At 47.5% G+C, this 16215-nt stretch overlaps 1 pseudogene, besides 1 other annotated feature; it reads right to left on the reverse strand.

Moving 5' to 3' along the window:
• On the reverse strand, window positions 1837-2273 carry EEF1DP6 (eukaryotic translation elongation factor 1 delta pseudogene 6; annotated as a pseudogene).
• Window positions 2473-3050: an enhancer, noted in NCBI's record as "NANOG-H3K4me1 hESC enhancer chr1:4236159-4236736 (GRCh37/hg19 assembly coordinates)". NCBI's record gives its function as "activates a minimal SCP1, AML or CMV promoter by ChIP-STARR-seq in naive H9 embryonic stem cells {active_cell/tissue: H9 hESC(naive)}" and the evidence as "EXISTENCE:reporter gene assay evidence [ECO:0000049][PMID:30033119]".

Consider the following 16215-nt stretch of genomic DNA (forward strand, 5'->3'; position numbering starts at 1 on the left):
GATCCTCTCTCTTCCCCTCCTCCCATCCCTACAAATCATCTTTGTCCCCCTCCTTTCTGATCTCAGTGAAGGGTGGACCTGGACTAGTTTCCTGTGGTTGCAGAAATAAAATATCACAAACCTTGTGGCTTGAACAACAAAAATGTGTTCTCTGGCAGTTCTAGAGGCCAGACGTCCAAAATCCAGGTGTCACCAGGCACTGGCTCTCCCTGAGGCTCCGCAGGAGGGTCCTTCCTTTTGTCTTCCAGCGTCTGGGGCTTGCCAGCATCCCTGGCACTCTTTGGCATGTAGACGCATCACTTCAAGCCTCTGCCTCTGTTGTCACTGGTGTTCTGCCCGCCTCTGTGTCTGTTTCCGCTTCTTAGAGGGACGCCAGTGCTGTTGGATCAGGGCCCACGCTAATTGGGTATGAACTCATCTTAATTTAATAAATCTGCAAAGAGCCTATTTCCAATAAAGTCCCATTTCCAGGTACGGGGAATTCAACATGTCTTTGTGAAGGACACAAACTTCACCCAAGTCATCATCACTATCTTACACCCAAATTATCACCACTGTCCCTTGATGGGTGCTATTTCTCTCAGAAACCATTTAGAGGCTCTCTGTGCTCCCAGCGCTGTGGCCTCTCAAAGCTGGGGGTGGGACAGAGAACAAGACTGACAGAATCTGTGTTCCTGATGTCACCCATGTCGGGGGATGAACATGCTGATTAGGAAGTGATGGGAAATTCAGGACCGAGGGGTGGCAAGAGCCGGGACGAAACACGGTGGGGCACAGGGAGGGAGAATCGCAGTTGGCGCAGGTTTGGGTGTCAGGAAAGTTCTTCCTGGGAGTGAAGAAGAATGTCCCCGGCAGTGGAACTGTCTTGACTTGGGAATGGACTCCATGAACTTGGGGCACAGTGGGCACCTGGGAGAGGCAGGAGGCGGACAGAGGAGGTGTGTTCTGGTCCTGAGCCCAGGGGCCTGGGAAGAGTGTGGAGTTTATTCCAGTCTGGATGAGGGGTGCTGCAGCCGGGATAGGATTCTCTGGCTTGCTTATTTTGAAAGAGAGCCCGAGGCTGTGGTTGGGAGGACTGGGTTGAGGAGGGCAATAGCGAGAATATGGAGGCCTGGGGGAGGCTCTCCCCAACATCCAGAGTGTCATGGTGGTGGCTGGCATGCAGGGTGCTGTGTGGGTGTGTGGAGAGGCTGGATTCAGGGGTACCTCTGGGGGTGGAGTCCCCCAGACTTGTCCACACTCAGAGCTGCCCCGTAGGTCTGATGACCTTCCAGGCTCTGATCTAAGAGCTGGGTACTGTTATCATCCTCACTCTACAGATGAGCATTGTCTGCGCGAGCCGTGAGGCCAGAATTCAGGCCCAGGCAGGCTGGCTCCAGAGGCCCTGCCCTTCACCGAGGCCATCGTGATGGTGAAGGGCCGGGGAGGCTTCTAGGTTCTTGGCCTGCTGCTGAGTGATGGTGGGTACTACAGATGGAATGTTGTGTCCCTCCAAAATTCATATGTGAAAATCCTAACGCCAGCGTGAGGGTCATGAAGGTGGAGCCCCAACAAATAGGATGAGCCCCAATGAATGAGATGAGCACCCTATAAAAGGGACCCCAGAGAGCTTTCTCGCCCCTTCCACCATGTGAGGACACAATGAGCTCAGAAGCCGGCCTCACCAGACACCAAACCTGCCAGTGCCTCAATCTTGGACTTCCTGGCCTCCTGAACGGGGAGAAATACAAGTTTGTTGTTGAAGCCACCCAGCCTGTGGTATTTGTGTTATGGCTGCCTAAGTGAACTGAGATATGGTGCCGTCAGCAGAGCCAGGGAGTTTTTTTTTTTTTTTTTGCCCGTCTCAGTTTTTAATCATGGCAGGGCCTCACGTGCATGTGCACACACACACTGAGGCTTCTGATCTTGTTGAAAGCTGTGATGTTGACAGGCTGCACATGCTCCTCAAACTTGGTGATCTCCTCTTCCAGCAAGTCTGTCCCCAACTTGTCGTCCTCCATCACACACTGAATCTGCAGCTTCTGGATACCGTAGCCCATGGGCACCAGCTTGGAGGCCCCCCAGACCAGCCTGTCCAGCTGGATGGAGCGTGCACAGGCCTCCAACTGGGCCATGTCCGTCTCATTGTCCCAAGGCTTGACATCCAGGAGGATGGAGGACTTGACCACCAGTGCTGCCTCCTTGTCCTCCTCACCGTCACTGCCAAACAGGTCCATGTTATCGTCCTCATCATCCTCTGCTGGTGTGGCTGGCTTCTTGGCTGGGGGCTCCACATGACTGAAATCTAGTCATGCCACTCTCCCCCAAATCAGAGAACCTTCAAGCTGAGAACCTGCAGTTCCTCCAGCATGTGTGCCCTCTGACCTCCGACCCCTCTGAACCCTGACCTGACATGGTGCCCTCTGACCTCCGACCCCTCTGAACCCTGTCTACTCTCCTGTCCCCAACTCTACCCCAGGCAGCCTGACTTCTTGTCATTCCTCAATGGCTGCAAATGCCCTCTCTCACTTCTTGGCCACTCCCCACCCTGACCCTCTGCCAGGAATACCCCACCTTCCTCCCTCTCTATTCTTCTCCTGACCAACTTGTAAGCCATAAATAAAATTTTAAGGCCCCTCAACCATCTGAATGGACTTCCTCCTCGGCAAGGGCACCCTAAAATGTAACCTGAAAGACTGGTTCAGGCCATGATGGGAAGTGGGGGTCAGACATGCCTCATTCTACCCCTCCCTCCGGCATTAACATCAACACAGACCTTAAGTCTGTTAAGAAGCATTTACAGTCTATTGTCCCTGAAGTCTGCTGCCTGGAGGCCTCACCTGCATAATAAAACACTGGTCTCCACAACCCCTTATCACAATCCAGACATTCCTTTCTATGGATAACTCTTTCAACTAATTGCCAATTAGACCAATTTTAAATCTACTTATAACCTGGAACCACCTGCCCTCCCCCACCCTTCGAGTTGTCCCACCCTTCTGGACTGAAATGATGTATTTCTTAAATGTATTTGACTGAAGTCTCATGTCTCCTTAAAATGTATACAACCAAGCTGCACCCGGACCACCTTGGGCACCTGTTCTCAGGATCTCCTGAGGGCTGTGTCACGGGCCATGGTCACTCATATTTGGCTCAGAACAAACCTCTGCAAATATTTTACGGAATTTGACTCTTCATCAACAAACTCCTGGACATCCTCTTATCTCAGCAGAAAGGCCACTTCCTGCAAGCAGCCTTCCTTGATCCTGAGCTGGGATCAGGTGCTCGGGGTTCATTTTCTCCTGGTCCTCATTATCCCTGATTGCATTGTCTCTTGTCTTTCCTCTGTGAGGACAGGGTGGGGACTCTCTCTGTCATCCCAGAGTACCCCATAGCCTGAGGGGAGGATATTTGCCCAGGTGTGGCTCTCAGACCCCAGGGTTGTGGTTGGCAAACCTGCTGACTCTCCAGGGGCTGGCCCAGCTGCATCCGCAGGGAACACTCAAGGGAAGGTTGGGCTAGAATCGCACCAGGGTTGTTTCCATGGTGTCACCTCTCTGCTGTGTGAGCTTGTGGCTGTGACTTTGCCTTCCTGAATTTCAGCTGCCTCACTTCCAAAACTGGGTACCCCAATCACCCTGATTTGATTACTATGCATGGTACACATGCACCCAAAAACTATGCACAACGATTTTGAATCAATAAAAAAAATAGAATAGGTCATGCTACCCCTTTCTCAGGGCTGCTGGGAAAATGAAATTAGTTATGTAGATGATTGAACCTGCAGCTCCACCCAGCCGCTTGCCCTCTTCCTAAAGCTGGAAACTGGGGCCACCAGGATGGACCTGAACATCTCCTGCATCCACCTCTGTAAGATTCTCCCCGGGCCTGAAAGCTTAAGGGGATGAGTAGCCCCTCCATTCTCAGGCCCAGCTCCAAGGTCACTTGTGTCATCAGCGTGCGCCCGCAAGATAGCAGAAGCAGGAAGAGAGCTGGCCGGAAGACGCATACCCCTGGAGATCGAGAAAGAGGCCATCCGGGTACAATGCAGCAGTTACATCAGACTAGGACACTTCCTGTTTACAGGAAACTATAAAACTTTTGCCCCATCCTCACTTGGTGCTGACGCCATGTTAGGCCTCAGCCCACCTGCACCCAGGCGCTCATTAAAACAACATGTGGCTCCACACCGCCTTGTGTTGTCTGTTGGCTCGCTTGCTCTTGGGGTTCGAACTGATACAAGAACCTTACAGTCTTCTCCTCTGCTGAGCCCTTTGCTGAGCCAGGTGGCTCTGCTCTCTGCAGCTTCCAGATTTGAGGGGGAGGTTTCTCCTCCTTTGCCTGGGACGAGGTGGTGCTCCTCCCTCGTGGACGGTTACCACCAGACTTTTGTCAAGCCGAGGACCTCACCCTGGGATGTGATGAGCAACCTTTCACGTACGTCCGTGTGAAGAGACCACCAAACAGGCTTTGTGTGAGCAACAAGGCTGTTTATTTCACCTGGGTGCAGGCGGGCTGAGTCTGAAAAGAGAGTCAGCAAAGGGTGGTGGGATTATCATTAGTTCTTACAGGTTTTGAGATAGGCGGTGGAGTTAGGAACAATGTTTTGTGGGCAGGGGGTGGATCTCACAAAGTACATTCTCAAGGGTGGGGAGAATTACAAAGAACCTTCTTAAGGGTGGGGAGATTTACAAAGAACCTTCTTAAGGGTGGGGGAGATTGCAAAGTACATTGATCAGTTAGGGTGGGGCAGAAACAAATCACAATGGTGGAATGTCATCAGTTAAGGCTATTTTCACTTGTTTCGTGGATCTTCAGTTGCTTCAGGCCATCTGGATGTATACGTGCAGCTCACAGGGGATATGATGGCTTAGCTTGGGCTCAGAGGCCTGACACAAACCTCTTCACAACCAACGCTTTCCTGTGTCCATTCCCAAAGAAACAATTTCCATCACTCTGAGTCCTTTTCAGAGCTGAGCAGGTGTGGCACATCTGTCTGCACATAGCAGGGCCCGCACACTGACGGCTGCAGAGGAGGACAGTGGCCAGCAGTCCTCTTAAAGGGTCATCTACTGACAGATTCAGGAGTCACTGACATCCATAAGAAACTGGTTTTCCTTTCCAGTTGGCCATGGTCCTCACCTCCTGGGGAGCCTTGGGCCCTTCTGGAGTTGGTGGTCCCTTGCAGGAGGAGCTGCGAGCTGACGGTACCCTCTGGTGGAAGAGTGGAGCAGAAGAAGGTGAAATGGTTAGAAGGTGCTGCTATGACTCAGAGTGTGGTCTCCTGGAGGCAGCAAGCAATCCCAAAGGCAGAATCCATCTTGCTGACAGGCTGAGAGCAAGGTCAACCCTGCACTGCTCCGAAGTGACTCGTCTGACCTGTATAATTCTTCCATTGGTGACACCCGCAGAATATGAATTCACTCAAACGGGCAGATGTGGCTGAGAGAGTCCCTTTTCCAAGGACCGGGATGACATGAAAATGGTTTTGATGTTCTCATTCTCGACGATTGAAACCTTGATAGGGAGCATCCGTCAGGCAGGTGGGCAGTTGGGCGTGCCCTGCCTCAGTCTCCCTGCCCCTCCTCCACAGTGCTCTTATGTCTCACAGCTCTCGGAGTGGCCAATCTAGTCAATAGCAAGTGTGGCTGTGCTGGGAAGGGTTCTTGACTTGCAATGTGGTGGATGTACAGATGAGTCTCTGAGTGTGAAATGTCTGATGATGATTGTATTAGTTGGGATTTTCTAGAAAGACAGAACTAATAGGACAGATGTATATATAAAGCAGAGTTATTAAGGAGTATTGACTCACATGACCACAAGCTGAGGTCCCACAATAGGCTGTCTGCAAGCTGAGGGACAAGGAAGCCAGTCCGATTCCCAAAGCTGAAGAACTTGGAATCTGATGTTAGAGGGCACGAAGCATCCAGCATGGGAGAAAGATGGAGGCCAGAAGATTCAGCCAGTCTAGTCTTTCCATGTTCTTCTGCCTGCTTTTCTTCTGGCCGCGCTGGCAGCTGATTAGATGGTGCCCACCCAGATTGAGGGTGGGCCTGCCTCTCCCAGTCCACTGACTCAAATGTTAATCTCCTTTGTCAACACCCTCACAGACACGCCCAAGATCATTACTTTGCATTCTTCAATCTAATCAAGTTGACACTCAATATTAACTATCACAGTGATGATGGCTTGATTCCCTGGGCTGGGCTGCTGCCTCTGTCTCCGCCTTGTCTGAAAGCTTGCTGGCTTCAGACACAGCATAGTCCTGGGATGTGGCTGGGAGGGTGGCTTGGGCCAAGCAGGGAGACTTGGTCGGGGTGTGTGGTTGTGACATCCTTGCAGGAAGCTTTCTTGAGTCACGGATGGAGTCTTTTAGAAATAACCTGTGCATGTGTGTGTGTGGCTCTGGTTTGCAAAATGTATTGACATCACCAGGCTTTAATTAGCTGTGCTGTGCTATTGGGGACTTTGTCACTGCCACTTTGCAGGCTACAAATTACCACTTTGAGTCATTAAAAGCAGGAGCAAAAAGTAGTTACTGGTGTTAGAGCTGGAAGGGGCCCTGGGTCACCTCATCCAGTGATCATCAGCCCCAGCCCAGGGAGGAACAGGACTGGCCAAGTCACAAATAGCTAACAGCAGAAACAAAACAGGCTCCTGAATCTGTCCTGAGCTGCATCCACTGTGTTGGGCTCTGCGTCCTGGAACATCAGTTCCCTGTCCTCAGGAACACAGGGGCCCATGCACGGATCATTCCACACATTCTCTAGGGCCCACGGAGGATGAGCACCAGGAGCACTGACCACAGAGGCCAACATTGCCTTCATCCCCACCCCCGGCACCCCACTCTCTCTCGCTGGACCAGCCAAGGAATTGGAATTCAGAGACTGTGTCACCTGAGCCCACACACCTTTGTGAGGCTCCTGAGTGTGGGTGTGAAGTGTGGTTTTGATTTGCATTTCCCTGATGACTAATGGTGTGCAGTATCTTGTCATGAGCTTATTGGCCATTTGTATATCTTTGGAGAAATGCCTGTTCAATCCTTTGCCCATTAGAAAGAATATACTTTATTTTTTAGAGCAGTTTGTGGTTCACAGCAAAATTAAGTGGAAGGGACAGATAGTTCCCATCCACCCCCTGCCCCGACATGGCACAGCCTCCTCCACAGTGAACATCCCCCACCAGGGGTGCACTTGTTACAATCAGTGAACCCACAGTCGAGTTCATTCTTCTTTTTTAAACATTTATCTTTTTAAAAATTTATTCTCATTGTATGTATTTAAGGTATAAAGCACATTATTTTGCTATACATAGTGAAATGATTATTACAAACAAGTGAACTTATCCATCACCTTCCATAGTTACTGCCTTCTTATATTAATAAGAAAAATAAAACAAAATAGTGTTGAAGTGTTGGGGCGGCGAAAATTTTTGGGGGGTGGTATGGAGAGAGAGAATGGGCGATGTTTCTCAGGGCTGCTTCAAGCGGGATTAGGGGCAGCGTGGGAACCTAGAGTGGGAGAGATTAAGCTGAAGGGAGATCTTGTGGTAAGGAGTGATATTGTGGGGATGTTAGAAGAAATGTTTGTCGTATAGAATGATTGGTGATGACCTGGATACAGTTTTGGATGAATTGAGAAACTAAACGGAAGATACAAGGTCTGAATAAAAGAAGGAGAAAAATGGGTTTTGACTAAGAATTGGGAGGACCTAGGACATCTAATTAGAGAGTGCCTAAGGGGGTTCAGCATAATTACTTGCTTGGTTGGCAAGTTTTTGGGCTCTATCTTTGAGTTTTTTTATGTTGTCATACACCAGGCTGGACTGATTTAGGTAAAAACAACACTCTTCATTTAAGAATATACAGAGTCCTCCTTTTTCAGCAATGAGTAAGTCAAGGCCTCCGTGGTTTTGGAGGACAACTGCAGCTAAAGAGTCAACTTGGGCCTGGAGGACTGATAAAGTTTGTGATATGTCTGTGATGCTAGCAGCGAAGTCATTAGAGAGGATACAGAAGGTCATGACAGAGGTTGAAATGCCTGCTATTCCAGTACCGAGAGCAATAGTGGAGGCAGAAAGTCCTAAACTGACCAGCAAGGGAATTAGTGGAATAGCTTTTTTTTGTCGTGTCGGTGTCATGAGGGGAACAGGGAGGTCTTCGGTCCTATTTGCAAATTGAATTTTGGGGGTAAGGAAAACTAGTGTGCATGTGCCTGTCCAATTAGCAGGTAGACCTATGTAGGTAGAGGATCCACAGAGGAAGAAGAGACCTTGTGCGAGGCAAAACTGGAGATTCAAAGTAAAAAGGTGAGAAGGAGTGCTGAAAGCGGTGTCTTGTACCCAGACTCCTAGGGATCTAGCTAGGGTGGCAGCCGTCAGAGGTTGTAATGGGGACTGATGGGGTAACTATGTAGAGGGGGAGGTTCAATTTTCATGGTGTATAAGAAAACGTTGAGTATTTATGAGCAACTTTTCACTGTTATTTTCAGGGCTGGGTGTAAGTAAACAAGAAGAGGGCCTGGGAGGAGAGTCTGATAAGCAAGGTAGACAAGGAAGGAGTGAAATACAGGGTAAGTGTCTTCCTGAGCAATAATTACGCTAACGTTTTTAAGTTTGTCAATATTGATAGAGGACTTGTCTGTAATATGGAGCTGGAATGCTCCAATTGTTTCAGTGATGTGTGTAGTTGGGCTTTGGAGATGAAGAGTAAAGGAACATTGAGAAGGTGAAAGATTACCTAGGGGAATTCTAGTGGGTCTTTGCTGAGAGAAACATAAAGGAGCGGCCACAGGAATAGTAGTTTGTGTTGTGAGAGGTCTAAATATGGGGGGAGTAGAGTTAATATAAGGAGAAAGGTTTTTTAAGTAAGTGTGGAGGAGGGCGGCTGCTTGCTGATGTGAAATGTCTTGCGAAGTCTTGCTGCACCTGTTTAGAAAGTAAATGAGTTCTTCAGGAGGGTAAAGGTGAGGGCTATTAAAGGAAGTTCAGAGGTGTAAGGAGACAGGAGATGTAGCCTAGTCTGCATGTAAGGCGGGGACAGCTGTGTAGGCGCTGGGAGAAAGGGAAATGCAAAACCAGCAGTTGTTCGCTAAGGAGGGATTAGAAGCAGCTAGGAGAGAATGGGTAAGGTTGATAGTGTGGTGGAGATAGCTGGGGAGAGGTAAAGGGTGGCATAAGAATGGGAATGAGAATAAGAGTGAGTATAAAAGTAAGGAATAGAACTTCATCAGGGTGGAAATACTGGAGGGTGCCTTGCCAGCAAAGATCATCTATCCACTCTAAGAGGGAGTTAAGAGTGGTGGTTTGGGGATAGCACCAAGAGATATCAGCTGTGATGGCTTGAAGAAACAGTGTAAACTGGCAGTGTAAACAAGAGTAGGGCATTTATAAGTAGTTGAGAATAGAGAATAGGAGTATGACTAGACAGAAGATAGCAGGGATGACTAGTTTTTCGGGGCTCAGCCTAAGTGGTGGGGGTGACTTCATTAAGCCCTGTTGCAAAAAGTAGGGTAAGGATGAACAGACCTAATAGAATGAAGGGATGTATTAGGCTCATAAGGGTTATTACTGTTCTTCAGAAATGCTAGTGAGTTTAAGGGAAGTAGGGGAGAGTACTTGTGACTTCCAGGAGGAAGAGGAGGGATTAGGCTGGCTGTCTGATGGAAACAACTTTATTCTGGAATGGTGAACCTAGTGGGGAGAATCCTGCAGGTGGACGGCAGTTGGGGTACTATAGATGACTAAGTAGGGTCCGGTCCATTGAGGTTGTAGAGTTTGAGGGGTCAGATTCTTAACAAGAACGGATCATCCAGCTAGGGTGTCTTCATAAGGCTGGGGATCTGGAGTAGGCAAGAGAAGATTAGCAGCCTGGCGAATTTCCTATCTAGCCTGTTGAAGGACTGGAAGATAGTCGCCTAGAGGGCTGGTGTCTGGGATGAGGTTGGAGCCAAGCAAGAAAGAGCATCCATATAAAAGTTTAAATGGACTGTACCTTGTAGCATCTCGAGGACAGGCTCTAATTCTGAGAAGGGCAAGAGGTAAAAGTACTGTCCAATCCTTTTTTAAGTTGGAGGTTGAGCTTGGTGAGGTGTGTCTTTAAAAGACTATTAGTTCGTTCTACCTTTCCTGAAGATTGAGGACGGTAAGGGATATGAAGTTTCCACTGAATACCAAGAGCCTGAGAAACTAGGTGATTTGACTAGTAAAGGTTGGTCCGTTATCAGACTGTATAGAGGTGGGAGGGCCAAACTGAGGAATTGTCTGACAGAAGGGAAGAAATGACTGCTGTGGCCTTCTCAGACCCTGTGGGAAAGGCCTCTACCCATCCAGTGAAAGTGTCTACCTAGACTAAGAGATATTTTAGTTTTCTGACTCGGGGCATGTGAGTAAAGTCAATTTACCAGTCCTGGGCAGGGACAAATCCTCGAGCTTGATGTGTAGGAAAGGGAGGGGTAGTAGAATAGCAGATGGAACACTGAGAAGTGATTTCTTTGAGGATAGATTTTTAGGATGGAAAGGAAATGAGAGGTTCTAAGAGATGGGCTAGCGGCTTGTAACCTACATGGAAGAGGTTATGAAATGACGACAGAATAGAATGGGCCTGTGAGGCTGGAAGGAGATATTTTCCTTGGTCTAAGAACTATTTGCCTTGTGTGGGAAGAGATTGATAAGTGGAAGTTTCAGCAGGGGAGTAGGTGAGAGTGACCGATGTGAAGGAAAAAAACTGGCCGTGAGGGACAGAAGTTGGAAAGCTAGCTGCTTGTCTAGCCACCTTATCAGCATAAGCGTTGCTTAGAGCAATGGGATCTGATGCCTTTTGATGACCTTTGTAGTGAATGACTCCAGCTTCCTTTGGAAGTAAAGCGGCCTTGAGCAGAGTTTTTATTAAAGAGGCATTAATGATGGAGGACCTTTGCATAGTGAGGAAACCTCTTTCAGCCTATATAACAGCATGGTGGTGCAAAATATGAAAGGCATATTTAGAGTCAGTATAAATATTGACGCGTAGTCTTTTTGCAAGAGTGAGGGCTTGAGTTAAGGCAACTAATTCAACTTGCTGAGAGGTAGTGGAGGGGGGCAGAGCGGTAGCCTCAATGATAGATGTGGAAGATACTATAGCATAGCCTGCGTTTGCTGGTGAGTGGTGATTAGGCCTGGTGGAACTGCCATCAATAAACTAAATGTGATCAGGGTAAGGAACAGGAAATAAGGAAATATGGGGAAATGGGGGGAATGTCAGGTGGATCAGAGAGATACAGTCATGAGGGTCAGGTGTGGTATCCGGAATAATGTGGGAGGCCGGATTGAAGTCCGGGCCAGGAACAATGGTAATTGTGGGAGACTCAACAAAGAGTGAGTACAGCTGACGGAGCCAGGGAGCTGAACGTATATGTGTCAGGTGTGAGGAAGAAAACAGATTTTGGAAACTATGAGATCTGTAGAGAGTGAGTTGAGCATAGTTTGTGATTTTGAGGTCCTCTAAAAGTATTAGGGTGGCAGCAGCCACTGTGCGGAGACATGATGGCCAGCCTAAAACAGTAAGGTCAAGTTGTTTGGACATAAAGGCTACAGGAAGTGATCCTGGTCCTTGTATAAGAATTCTGACTGCACAGTCCTGCACTTTGGCTGTGTGTAATGAAAAGGGTTGGGATGAGTCAGGGAGAGCTGGGGTGGGAGCAGTCTCTAAAGCTGTCTTCAAGGAACAGAAAGAGGAGTGGGGAAAGGATTTAGGATCTATGGAGTCAGCTAGGTTTCCTTTTGTGAGTTTATGTAATGGTTTTGTTATGATGGCAAAACCAGGTATCTAAAGTCAAAAGTATCTAACCATGCCTAGGAAGGAAAGAAGTTGTTGTTTTGTAGAAGGTATTGGGGTTTGAGAGATCAGCTGGACATGATTGGCAGGGAGATCATGTGTATTTTTATGAGAATTATGCTGAGATAGGTAACAGATGAGGAAGAAATTTGGGCTTGACTGAAGTAATGGGGGCTGTCTGTGAAGCCTTGTGGCAGTACAGCCCAGGTAATTTGCTGAGGCTGATGGGTGTCAGGGTCAGTCCAAGTGAAAGCAAAGAGAGGCTGGGATGAAGGGTGCAAAGGAATAGTAAAGAAAGCATGTTTGAGATCCAGAACAGAATAATGGGTTGTGGAGGGAGGTATTGAGGATAGGAGAGTATATGGGTTTGGCACCACGGGGTGGGTAGGCAAAACAATTTGGTTGATAAGGCACAGATCTTGAACTAACCTGTAAGCCTGGTCTGGTTTTAGGACAGGTGAAATGGGGGAATTGTAAGGGGAGTGTATAGGCTTTAAAAGGCCATGCTGTAGCAGGCAAGTTATAACAGGCTTTGATCTTTTTAAAGCGTGCTGTGGGATGGGATATTGGCATTGAGTGGGATAAGGGTGATTAGGTTTTAATGAAATGGTAAGGGGTGGATTATCAGTCGCTAAGGAGGGAGTAGAGGTATCTTATACTTGTGGGTTAAGGTGGGGAGATATAAGGGGAGGAGGTGAAGGAGGCTTTGAACTGGGGGAAAAGGTGGCAATGAGGTGTGGCTGTAGCCCAGGAATAGTCAGGGAAGCAGATAATTTAGTTAAAATATCTCAGCCTAATAAGGGAACTGGGCAGGTGGGGATAACTAAAAGGAGTGCTTAAAGGAGTATTGTCTAAGTTGGCACCAGAGCTGGGGAGTTTTAAGAGGTTTAGAAGCCTGGCTGTCAATACCTACAACAGTTATGGAGGCAAGGGAAACAGGACCTTGAAAAGAAGGTAATGTGGAGTGGGTAGCCTCCGTATTGATTAAGAAGGTGACAGACTTACTTTCCACTCTGAGAGTTACCCAGAGCATCTGTGATGGTCTTGTAGGCTTCCGAGGCGATCGAGCAGTGTCAGTCTTCAGCTGCTAAGCCAAGAAGATCTGGGAAGGAGTCAGACAGCCTTGGGCCAGAGTTCCAGGGGCTCTGGAAGTGGCTGCCAGGTGAGTTGAACAGTCCGATTTTCAGTGGGGTCCTGCACAGATGGGACACGGTTTAGGAGGAATCCTGGGCTGTGGGCATTCCTTGACCCAGTGGCTAGGTTTCTGGCACTTGCAGCCAGCTCCTGGGGGAGGCAGGCCTGGAGAAATGCCTGGCCACTGTGGTTTAGGCATTTGGAAGTTCTTGTGTGCTGGAGATGTGGCTGGGGTTTGTCTCACAGTGGAGGCAAGGAATTGCAGCTCAGAAATGTTGCTACTTGGCTGCCTCTACTGTATTATTGTACACCTTGAAGGCAAGGTTAATTAAGTCCTGTTGTGGGGTTTGAGGGCCAGAATTTAATTTTTGGAGTTTTATTTAATGTCAGGAGCGGATTGGGTAATAAAATGTATATTGAAAATAAGACGGCCTATTGCCCTTTTAGGGTCTAGGGCTGTAAAGCGTCTCAGGGTTGCTGCTGAATGAGCCATGAACTGGGCTGGGTTTTTCATACTTGATGAAAGAGCCTAAATGCTAACTGATTTGGGAGAGGTCAGATAAAGAAAAGAGAGCATTAACCTTGACTATGCCTTTAGCTCCAGCCATCTTTTTAAGAGGAAATTGCTGGGCAGGTGGGGGAGGGCTGATCCCGGAACGAAATTGTAAGCTGGACCAGGTGTGAGGAGGGGAGGTGATAAAAAGATCATAGGGTGGAGGAGCAGAGGCTGAGGAGGAATTGGGACCTAGCTTGGCCTGGGGAGGAGGGGAGAGGTCAGATGGGTCTGTAGAAAAGGAAGATTAGAAAGACTCAGCGACACTTGGGGTTGGGACTGAGGGGACAGGCGGGAGGGAAAGAAGGAAGATTTGGGATGAGTTGCATTGGGCACAGAGACTACGGAGGGACCGATGTGTAAAAGAATGCCTGGACGTGATGGCTTGGCTTGGGTTCAGAGGCCTGACAGTTACCTCTTTTTTGGTGTGGTGAGGGTACCTAAAATCTACTCTCTTAGCAACTTTTCAGTATATTATTACTAACTATAGGTATTAGTTGTTCTCACACTGCTAATAAAGACATACCTGAGACTGGGTAATTTATAAAAAAAAAAAAAAGAGGTTTAATGGACTCCCAGTCCCACATGGCTGGGGAGGCCTCACAATCATGGCAGAAGACAAAGGAGGAGCAAAGAGACTTCTTACATGGCGGCAGGCAAGAGAGTGTGTGCAGGGGGACTCCTCTTTAGAAAACCATCAGATCTCATGAGACTTATTCACTACCATGAGAACAGGGTGGAGAAACCACACCTATGATTCAATTATCTCCCACTGAGCCCCTCCCTCAACACATGGGAATTATGGGAGCTACAATTCGAGATGAGATTTGGTGGGGACACAGCCAAACCACATCACTATAGCCCTCCCACTGTACATCTCCTACACTTATTTATTCTAACTGCAAATTTGTACCCTTGGATCTCCTTCTTCCTTTCCCTGTCCCCTATAACCACTATTCTACATGGTTTCTATTTTTTTGATGTTCTTAAAGATTCTATATATAATTGAGATAAAAGAGTGTGTTTCTTTCCGTGTCTGGCTTATTTCGCTTAGCATAATGTCTTCCATGTTGTTGCAAACGGTAGTATCTTCTTTATAAAATAATATTTCCTTGTATACATACACTACCATTTATTTTTTATAACTAAATTTATTTTAGATTCAGGAGTACATGTGCATATTTATTTCATGAATATATTTCATGCTGGGGGGTGGGTGGGGGGCTTGGATTTCTATTGTACCCATTACCCAAATCGTGAACATGGTACCTGATAGGTAATATTTCAACCCTCATGTTCCCCCCCACCTTTGGAGTTCTCAGTTTCAATTATTTCCATCTTTATGTCCATCTTACCCATTGTTTAGCTCCCACTTATTGGTGAGAATCTGCTATATCACAATTTCTTTCTTTTTTTTTTTTTTGAGTGTTTTCACTCTTACTACCCAGCTGGAGTGTGCAATGGCACTATCTCAGCTCACTACAACCTCTGCCTCCCAGATTCAAGTGATTCTCCTGCCTCAGCCTCCTGAATGGCTGGGATTACAGGCACCCACCACCATGCCTGGCTAATTTTTGTATTTTTAGTAGAGACAGGGTTTTGCCATGTTGGCCAGGCTGGTCTCCAACTGCTAACCTCAGGTGATCCACACACCTGGGCCTCCCAAAGTGCTGGGATTACAGGCATGAGCCACTGTGCCCAGCCACTACAATTTCTTTATCAATTCCTGAATAGACATTTCTCCAAAGAAGACATAGGGTTCAGTCTTGATATTATACATTCTATGGTTTTGAACAAATATACAATGATGTGTGCCACTGTTATAGTATCACACAGAAAAGATTCACTGCCCTGAAAATTCTCTGTGTTCTGCCTATTTATCTCTTCCTTTCCCCTAACCCAGCGACCCCCAGCCTTTTTGGCACCAGGGACAAGTTTCTTAGAAGACAATTTTTCCAAGGACTGGGGTGGGTGGGGGCGGGGGATAGTTTTGGGATAATTTCAGTGTGTTACATTTATTGTACACTTTATTATTTTTAGATTGTAATATATAATGAAATCATGATACAACTCACCATAACGTAGAATCAGTGACAGCCCTGAGATTGTTTTCCTGCAATCAGACGGTCCCATCTGGGGGTGATGGCAGACAGTAACAGATCATCAGGCATTAGATTCTCATAAGGAATGCAAAACCTAGATCCCTTGCATGTGCAGTTCACAATAGGGTTCACGCTCTTATGAGAATCTAATGCCGCTGTTCATCTGACAGGTGTAGGAGCTCAGGAGGTGATGTGAGCGATGGGGAGCATCTGTAAATGTGGAAGAAGCATCGCTCACTTGCCCACAGCTCACCTGATGTGCGGCCTGGTTCCAAACAGGCCATGGACTGGTACTGGTCTGTGGCCCCAGGGGGTGGGAGACCCCTGCCCTAATGCTGAAGGACATTTTGGTTGCTTCCACGTTTTGGCAATCATGAATAAAGCCGCTATAAGCATATGTGTGTAGGTTTTTTTGTGGACATAGGTTTTCAATGCCTTTGGATAAATATCAAAAAGAACAATTGCTGAATCATATGGTAGGAATATGTTTCATTTTGAAAGAAAGTACCAAACTGTCTTCCAAAGAGGCTATACCATTTTGCAATGCCACCAGCAATGAACAAAAGTTCCTGTGGCCTCACATCTTTGCCAGCATTTTGTATTGTCAGTCTTCTGGATTTTGGTCATTCTAGTAG

The sequence above is a fragment of the Homo sapiens genome, chromosome 1, assembly GCF_000001405.40.
Source record: "Homo sapiens chromosome 1, GRCh38.p14 Primary Assembly".
Taxonomy (NCBI): Eukaryota; Metazoa; Chordata; class Mammalia; order Primates; family Hominidae; genus Homo; species Homo sapiens.